The sequence below is a fragment of the Homo sapiens genome, chromosome 5 (genome assembly GCF_000001405.40).
Source record: "Homo sapiens chromosome 5, GRCh38.p14 Primary Assembly".
Classification (NCBI taxonomy): domain Eukaryota; kingdom Metazoa; phylum Chordata; class Mammalia; order Primates; family Hominidae; genus Homo; species Homo sapiens.
Window position 1 is genome coordinate 18,534,671 of NC_000005.10, and position 9,446 is coordinate 18,544,116.

At 45.9% G+C, this 9,446-nt stretch overlaps 4 annotated features.

The window, feature by feature from the left end:
• Positions 402-1,128: an enhancer, noted in NCBI's record as "NANOG-H3K4me1 hESC enhancer chr5:18535181-18535907 (GRCh37/hg19 assembly coordinates)". NCBI's record gives its function as "activates a minimal SCP1, AML or CMV promoter by ChIP-STARR-seq in naive H9 embryonic stem cells {active_cell/tissue: H9 hESC(naive)}" and the evidence as "EXISTENCE:reporter gene assay evidence [ECO:0000049][PMID:30033119]".
• Positions 1,129-1,854: an enhancer, noted in NCBI's record as "H3K4me1 hESC enhancer chr5:18535908-18536633 (GRCh37/hg19 assembly coordinates)". NCBI's record gives its function as "activates a minimal SCP1, AML or CMV promoter by ChIP-STARR-seq in naive H9 embryonic stem cells {active_cell/tissue: H9 hESC(naive)}" and the evidence as "EXISTENCE:reporter gene assay evidence [ECO:0000049][PMID:30033119]".
• Positions 4,370-5,079: an enhancer, noted in NCBI's record as "OCT4-NANOG-H3K27ac hESC enhancer chr5:18539149-18539858 (GRCh37/hg19 assembly coordinates)". NCBI's record gives its function as "activates a minimal SCP1, AML or CMV promoter by ChIP-STARR-seq in naive H9 embryonic stem cells {active_cell/tissue: H9 hESC(naive)}" and the evidence as "EXISTENCE:reporter gene assay evidence [ECO:0000049][PMID:30033119]".
• Positions 8,932-9,446: an enhancer, noted in NCBI's record as "OCT4-NANOG-H3K27ac hESC enhancer chr5:18543711-18544225 (GRCh37/hg19 assembly coordinates)". NCBI's record gives its function as "activates a minimal SCP1, AML or CMV promoter by ChIP-STARR-seq in naive H9 embryonic stem cells {active_cell/tissue: H9 hESC(naive)}" and the evidence as "EXISTENCE:reporter gene assay evidence [ECO:0000049][PMID:30033119]".

Sequence of the window (9,446 nt, forward strand, 5' to 3'; positions counted from 1 at the left end):
ACACCATTGCACTCCGGCCTGGGTGACAGAATGAGACTTCATCAAAAAAAAAAAAAAAAAGAAGAAGAAAAAAAAGGGAAATTTTTGAATCCACTTATGATCTTGGACCCCCCCCCCAACCTCCCTAACTCTCCCCACCCCACCCCCACTTTGAGATGTCCTGCCTTTTCAGGTTGAATCAATGTATAACTTACATGTATGGACTTATGTCTTTATCTGCAACTTCTGTTTTTCTAAATTGTATAAATTCTAGCTATAACCCAACCAACTTGGGCACATGTTCTCAGGATCTCCTGAGGCTATGTCATGGACCATGTCCTTAACTTTGGCAAAATAAACATCTAAATTGATTGAGACCTGTCTCAGATACTTTTAGGTTTACATGGGGTGTTTGTGAAATTTCGGTACATGTGTAGAACGTGTAATGAGATGATTCTGGAGACTCTCTGCAATATAATTTTTTCCTAAGACTGATTTCTGCTGTGCCATGTAATTCAATAAAACCAGAGCTTCTGTCCTCGAATTATACTTAGAAGTTTGTGTCAGGCCTCTGAGCCCAAGCCAAGCCATCGCATCCCCTGTGACTTGCATGTATACGCCCAGATGGCCTGAAGTAACTGAAGAATCACAAAAGAAGTGACTATGCCCTGCCCCACCTTAACTGATGACAGTCCACCACAAAAGGAGTGTAAATGGCTGGTCCTTGCCTTAAGTGATGACATTACCTTGTGAAAGTCCTTTTCCTGGCTCATCCTGGCTAAAAAAGCACCCCCACTGAGCACCTTGCGACCCTCGACTTCTTATATCTCTGCGCCCCAATCCCTTATTTCCACGCCCCAACGTCATATCTCTGCACCCCAATCCCTTATTTCTGCGCCCCAACCTCTTATATCTCTGCACCCAATCCCTTATTTCTGCACCCCAACCTCTTATCTCTGTGCCCCAATTGCTTATTTCCACAGCCCAACCTCTTATCTCTATGCCCCAATCCCTTATTTCCGGTCTAAAGGCCGTCTTATTCTCAATATACATTTTATTACCCAATCTGCTCCTGACATTAAATAAAACTCCAAAAATTGGAATCTGGCCCTCAAACCCCACAACAGGACTTAATTAACCTCACCTTCAAGGTGTACAATAACAGAAAAAAGTTGCAATTCCTTGCCTCCACTGTGAGACAAACCCCAGCCACATCTCCAGTACACAAGAACTTCCAAACGCCTGAAGGGCAGCAGCCAGGCATTCCTCCAGAACCTCCTCCCCCAGGAGCTTGCTACACATGCCGGAAATCTGGCCACTGGGCCAAGGAATGCCCGCAGCCCGGGATTCCTCCTAAGCCGCATCCCATCTGTGTGGGACCCCACTGAAAATCAGAATGTTCAACTCACCTGGCTGCCACTCCCAGAGCCCGTGGAACTCTCGCCCAAGGCTGTCTGACTGACTCCTTCCCAGATCTTCTTGGCTTAGCTGCTGAAGACTGACACTGCTGGATCGCCTCAGAAGCCCCCTAGACCATCACGGACGCCGAACTTCGGGTAACCCTCACAGTGGAAGGTAAGCCCATCCCCTTCTTAGTCAATACGGAGGCTACCCACTCCACATTACCTTCTTTTCAAGGGCCTGTTTCCCTTGCCTCCATAACTGTTGTGGGTATTGACAGCCAGGCTTCTAAACCTCTTAAAACTCCCCAACTCTGGTGCCAACTTAGACAGTACTCTTTTAAGCACTCCTTTTTAGTTATCCCCACCTGCCCAATTCCCTTATTAGGCTGAGACACTTTAACTAAATTATCTGCTTCCCTGACTATTCCTGGACTACAGCTATATCTCATTGCTGCCCTTCTTCCCAATCCAAAGCCTCCTTTGCGTCCTCCTCTTGTATCCCCCCACCTCAACCCACAAGTATAAGATACCTCTACTCCCTCCTTGGCGACCGATCATGCACCCCTTACCATCTCATTAAAACCTAATCACCCTTACCCCACTCAATGCCAATATGCCATCCCACAGCATGCTTTGAAAGGATCAAAGCTTGTTATCACTCACCTGCTACAGCATGGCCTTTGAAAGCCTATAAACTCTCCTTACAATTCCCCCATTTTACCTGTCCTAAAACCAGACAAGCGTTACAAGTTAGTTCAGGATCTGCACCTTATCACCCAAATTGTTTTGCCTATCCACCCCGTGGTGCCAAACCCATATACTCTCCTATCCTCAATACCTGCCTCTAAAACCCATTATTCTGTTCTAGATCTCAAACATGCTTTCTTTACTATTCCTTTGCACCCTTAATCCCAGCCTCTCCACTTTCACTTGGACTGACCCTGACACCCATCAAGCTCAGCAAATTACCTAGGCTGTACTGCCGCAAAGCTTCACAGACAGCCCCCATTACTTCAATCAAGCCCAAATTTATTCCTCATCTGTTACCTATCTCAGCATAATTCTCATAAAAACACACGTGCTCTCCCTGCCAATCCTGTCCGACTGATCTCTCAAACCCCAGCACCTTCTACAAAGCAACAACTCCTTTCCTTCCTAGGCATGGTTAGTGTGGTCAGAATTCTTACACAAGAACCAGGACCACACCCTGTAGCCTTTCTGTCCAAACAACTTGACCTTACTGTTTTAGCCTAGCCCTCATGTCTGCGTGCAGCGGCTGCCACTGCTTTAATACTGTTAGAGGCCCTAAAAATCACAAAATATGCTCAACTCACTCTCTACATTTCTCATAACTTCCAAAATCTATTCTCTTACTCGTACCTGACGCATATACTTTCTGCTCCCCGGCTCCTTCAGCTGTATTCACTCTTTAAAGTCCCACAATTACCATTGTTCCTACCCGGACTTCAATCTGGCCTCTCACATTATTCCTGATACCACACCTGACCCCCATGACTGTATCTCTCTGATTCACCTGATATTCACCCCATTTCCCCATATTTCCTTCTTTCCTGTTCCTCACCCTGATCACGCTTGATTTATTGCTGGCGGTTCCACCAGGCCTAATCGCCACACACCAGCAAAGGCAGGCTATGCTATAGTACAAGCCACTAGCCCGCCTCTCAGAAACTCTCATTTCCTTTCCATCATGGAAATCTATCCTCAAAGGAAATAACTTCTCAGTGTTCCATCTGCTATTCTACTACTCCTCAGGGATTATTCAGGCCCCCTCTCTTGCCTACACATCAAGCTCGAGGATTTGCCCCTACCCAGGACTGGCAAATTAGCTTTACTCAACATGCCTGAGTCAGGAAACTAAAATACCTCTTAGTCTAAATAGACACTTTCACTGAATAAGTAAAGGCCTTTCCTACAGGGTCTGAGAAGGCCACTGCAGTCATTTCTTCCCTTCTGTCAGACATAATTCCTCAGTTTAGCCTTCCCACCTCTATACAGTCTGATAACAGACCAGCCTTTATTAGTCAATTCAGCCAAGCAGTTTTTCAGGCTCTTAGTATTCAGTGAAACCTTTATATCCCTTACAGTCCTCCGTCTTCAGGAAAAGTAGAATGGACTAAAGGTCTTTTCAAAACACACCTCACCAAGCTCAGCCACCAACTTAAAAAGGACTGGACAATACTTTTACCACTTTCGCTTCTCAGAATTCAGGCCTGTCCTCGGAATGTTACAAGGTACAGCCCATTTAAGCTCCTGTATAGACACTCCTTTTTATTAGGCCCCAGTCTCATTCGACACCAGACCAACTTAGACTGTGCCCCAAAAAAACTTGTCATCCCTACTATCTTTTGTCTAGTCATACTCCTATTCACTGTTCTCAACTACTCATACATGCCCTGCTCTTGTTTACACTGCCAGTTTACACTGTTTCTCCAAGCCATCACAGCTGATATCTCCTGGTGTTATCCCCAAACTGCCACTCTTAACTCTTGAAGTAAATAAATAATCTTTGCTGGCAGGACTATGCTGAATCTCCTTAGGCACTCTCTAATCAGGTATCCTGAGTCGTCCCAATTCTTAGACCTTTTATACCTGTTTTTCTCCTTCTGTTATTCCATTTAGTTTTTCAATTCATCCAAAACTGTATCCAGGCCATCACCAATCATTCTATACGACAAATGTTTCTTCTAACATCCCCACAATATCACCCCTTACCACAAGATCTCCCTTCAGCTTAATCTCTCCCACTCTAGGTTCCGATGCCACCCCTAATCCCGCTTGAAGCAGCCCTGAGAAATTTCACCCATTCTCTCTCCATACCACTCCCCAAAAATTTTCGCCGCCCCAACACTTCAACACTGTTTTATTTTTCTTATTAATATAAGAAGGCAGGAATGTCAGGCCTCTGAGCCCAAGCCAAGCCATCGCATCCCCTGTGCAAGCATCCCCTGTGACTTGCACGTATGTGCCCAGATGGCCTGAAGTAACTGAAGAATCACAAAAGAAGTGAATATGCCCTGCCCCACCTTAACTGATGACATTCCACCACAAAAGAAGTGTAGATGGCCGGTCCTTGCCTTAACTGATGACATTACCTTGTGAAAGTCCTTTTCCTGGCTCAAAAAGCACCCCCACTGAGCACCTTGCAACCCCCACTCCTGCCCGCCAGAGAACAAACCCCCTTTGACTGTAATATTCCTTTACCTACCCAAATCCTATAAAACGGCCCCACCCTTGTCTCCCTTCGCTGACTCTCTTTTCGGACTCAGCCCGCCAGCACCCAGGTGAAATAAACAGCCATGTTGCTCACACAAGCCTGTTTCGTGGTCTCTTCACACGGATGCGCATGAAACCAATCCCTTATTTCCGCACCCCAACCTCTTATCTCTGTGCCCCAATCCCTTATTTCCATGCCCCAACCCCTTCTCTGCTTTTCTGCAGGGCTAGATCCCCCCACCCCTTCTCCATGTCTCTACTCTTTTTTCTGGGCTTGCCTCCTTCACTATGGGTAAGATTCCACCTTCCATTCCTCCTTCTTCTCCCTTAGCCTGTCTTCTCAAAAACTTAAAACCTCTTCAACTCGCACCTGACCTAAAACCTAAATGCCTTATTTTCTTCTGCAATGCCGCTTGACCCCAATACAACTCGACAGTAGTTCCAAATAGCCAGAAAATGGCAGTTTCAATTTTTCCATCCTACAAGATCTAAATAATTCTTGTCGTAAAATGGGCAAATGGTCTGAGGTGCCTGACGTCCAGGCATTCTTTTATACATCAGTCCCTCCCTAGTCTCTGTGCCCAGTGCAACTCGTCCCAAATCTTCCTTCTTTCCCTCCCGCTTGTCCCCTCAGTCCCAACCCCAAGCGGCGCTGAGTCTTTCTAATCTTCCTTTTCTACAGACCCATCTGACCTCTCCCCTCCTCACTAGCCTAAGCTAGGTCCCAATTCTTCCTCAGCCTCCGCCCCTCCACCCTGTAATCTTTTTATCGCCTCCCCTCCTCACACCTGGTCTGGCTTACAGTTTCATTCTGTGACTAGCCCTCCCCCACCTACACAGCAATTTACTCTTAAAAAGGTGGCTGGAGCCAAAGGCATAGTCAAGGTTAATGCTGCTTTTTCTTTATTCCAAATCAGATAGCGTTTAGGCTCTTTTTCATCAAATATAAAAACCCAGCCCAGTTCATGGCTCGTTCGGCAGCAACCCTGAGAGGCTTTACAAGCCTAGACCCTAAAAGGTCAAAAGGCCATCTTATTCTCAATATACATTTTATTACCCAATCTGCTCCCGACATTAAATAAAACTCCAAAAATTAGAATCTGGCCCTCAAACCCCACAACAGGACTTATTAACCTCACCTTTAAGGTGTACAATAATAAAAAAAAAAGTTGCAATTCCTTGCCTCCACTGTGAGACAAACCCCAGCCACATCTCCAGCACACAAGAACTTCCAAATGCATGAACCGCAGTGGCCAGGCGTTCCTCCAGAACCTCCTCCCACAGGAGATTGCTACAAGTGCCAGAAATCTGGCCACCAGGCCAAGGAATGCCTGCAGCCCAGGATTCCTCCTAAGCTGTGTCCCATCTGTGCGGGACCCCACTGGAAATCGGACTGTTCAACTCACCTGGCAGACACTCCCAGAGCCCCTGGAACTCTGGCCCAAGGCTCTCTGACTGACTCCTTCCCAGATCTTCTCGGCTTAGCAGCTGAAGATTGACGCTGCCCAATCGCCTCAGAAGCCCCGTAGACCATCATGGACGCCAAACTTTAGGTAACTCTCACAGTGGAAAGTAAGCCCATCCCCTTCTTAATCAATACGGAGGCTACCCACTCCATGTTACCTTCTTTTCAAGGGCCTGTTTCCCTTGCCTCCATAACTGTTGTGGGTATTGATGGCCAGGCTTCTAAACCTCTTAAAACTCCCCAACTCTAGTGCCAACTTAGACAACACTCTTTTATGCACTCTTTTTTAGTTATCCCCACCTGCCCAGTTCCCTTATTAGGCCGAGACACTTTAACTAAATTATCTGCTTCCCTGACTATTCCTGGATTACAGCTGCATCTCATTGCTGCCCTTCTTCCCAATCCAAAGCCTCCTTTGCATTCTCCTCTTGTATTCCCCCAGCTTAACCCACAAGTATAAGATACCTCTACTCCCTCCTTGGTGACTAATCATGCACCCCTTACCATCTCATTAAAACCTAATCACCCTTACCTCACTCAATGCCAATATCCCATCCCACAGCATGCTTTGAAAGGATCAAAGCTTGTTATCACTCACCTGCTACAGCATGGCCTTTGAAAGCCTATAAACTCTCCTTACAATTCCCCCATTTTACCTGTTCTAAAACCAGACAAGCCTTACAAGTTAGTTCAGGATCTAAGCCTTATCAACCAAATTGTTTTCACTATCCACCCCATGGTGCCAAACCCATATACTCTCCTATCCTCAATACCTCCCTCCACGATCCATTGTTCTGTTCTGGATCTCAAACATGCTTTCTTTACTATCTTTGCACCCGTCTTCCCAGCCTCTCTTCGCTTTCACGTGGACTGACCCTGACACCCATTAGGCTCAGCAAATTACCTGGGTTGTTCTGCTGCAAGGTTTCACAGACAGCCTCCATTACTTCAGTCAAGCCCAAATTTCATCCTCATCTGTTACCTATCTTGGCATAATTCTCATAAAAACACAACACAAGTGCTTTCCCTGTTGATCGTGTCCAATTAATCTCCCAAACCCCAATCCCTTACAAAACAACTCCTTTCCTTCCTAGGCATGGTTAGTGTGGTCAGAATTCTTACACAAGAGCGAGGACCACACCCTGTAGCCTTTCTGTGCGAACAACTTGACCTTACTGTTTCAGCCTAGCCCTCATGTCTCCGTACAGCGGCTGCTGTCGCCCTAATATTTTAGAGGCCCTAAAAATCACAAACTATGCTCAACTCACTCTCTACATTTCTCATAACTTCAGAAATCTATTTTCTTCCTTATTCCTGATGCATATACTTTCTGCTCCCTGGCTCCTTCAGCTGTACTCACTCTTTGTTAAGTCTCCCACAATTACCATTGTTCCCGGCACGGACTTCAATCCGGCCTCTCACATTATTCCTGATACCACACCTGACCCCCATGACTGTATCTCTCTGATCCACCTGACATTCGCCCCATTTCCCCATATTTCCTTCTTTCCTGTTCCTCACCCTGATCGCGCTTGATTTATTGATGGCAGTTCCACCAGGCCTAATCGCCACACACCAGCAAAGGCAGGCTATGCTGTAGTACAAACCACTAGCCCACCTCTTAAAACCTCTCATTTCCTTTCCATCGTGGAAATCTATCCTCAAGGAAATAACTTCTCAGTGTTCCATCTGCTATTCTACTACTCCTCAGCAATTATTCAGGCCCCCTCCCTTCCCTACACATCAAGCTTGAAGATTTGCCCCTACCCAGGACTGGCAAATTAGCTTTACTCAACATGCCCTCAGTCACAAAAACTAAAATACCTCTTAGTCTAAGTAGACACTTTCAGTAGACAGGTAGAGGCCTTTCCTACAGGGTCTGAGAAGGCCACTGCAGTCATTTCTTCCCTTCTGTCAGACATAATTCCTCAGTTTAGCCTTCCCACCTCTGTACAGTCTGATAACAGACCAGCCTTTATTAGTCAGATCAGCCAAGCATTTTTTCAGGCTCTTAGTATTCAGTGACAGACTAGTGGTCTATTAAAAACACACCTCACCAAGCTCAGCCACCAACTTAAAAAGGACTGGACAATACTTTTACCACTTTCCCTTCTCAGAATTCAGGCCTGTCCTTGGAATGCTACAGGGTACAGCCCATTTAACCTCCTGTATAGACACTCCTTTTTATTAGGCCCCAGTCTCATTCCAGACACCAGACCAACTTAGACTGTGCCCCCCAAAAAACTTGTCATCCCTACTATCTTCTGTCTAGTCATGCTCCTATTCACCATTCTCAACTACTCATACATGCCCTGCTCTTGTTTACACTGCCGGTTTACACTGTTTCTCCAAGCCATCACAGCTGATATCTCCTGGTGCTATCCCCAAACTGCCACTCTTACTTCTTGAAGTAAATAAATAATCTTTGCTGGCAGGACTATGCTGAATCTCCTTAGGCACTCTCTAATCAGATATCCTGAGTCGTCCCAATTCTTAGAACTTTTATATCTGTTTTTCTCCTTCTGTTATTCCATTTAGTTTCTCAATTCATCCAAAACCGTATCCAGGCCTTCACCAATCATTCTATACGACAAATATTTCTTCAAACATCCCCACAATATCACCCCTTACCACAAGACCTCCCTTCATCTTAATCTCTCCCACTCTACGTTCCCACGCCACCCCTAATCCCGCTTGAAGCAGCCCTGAGAAATATCACCCATTCTCTCTCCATACCACTCCCCAAAAATTTTTGCCGCCCCAACACTTCAACACTATTTTGTTTTATTTTTCTTATTAATATAAGAAGGCAGGAATGTCAGGCCTCTGAGCCCAAGCCAAGCCATCGCATCACCTGTGACTTGCACATATATGCCCAGATGGCCTGAAGTAACTGAAGAATCACAAAAGAAGTGAATATGCCCTGCCCCATCTTAACTGATGACATTCCACCACAAAAGAAGTGTAAATGGCCGGTCCTTGCCTTAAGTGATGACATTACCTTGTGAAAGTCCTTTTCCTGGCTCATCCTGGCTCAAAAATCACCCCCACTGAGCACCTTGCGACCCCCACTCCTGCCCGCCAGAGAACAAACCCCCTTTGACTGTAATTTTCGTTTACCTACCCAAATCCTATAAAATGGCCCCACCTTTATCTCCCTTCGCTGACTCTCTTTTCGGACTCAGCCCGCCAGCACCCAGATGAAATAAACAGCCATGTTGCTCACACAATGCCTGTTTGGTGGTCTCTTCACAGGGACGCGCATGAAAGTTTGTATCTAGTATCTAAATCTTTAGAGTAAGATAGTCCTGGGACTAGGGAAAAATAAAAGCAAAAGAGAAAGAGCTGTTTTAGGTTATTCTGTA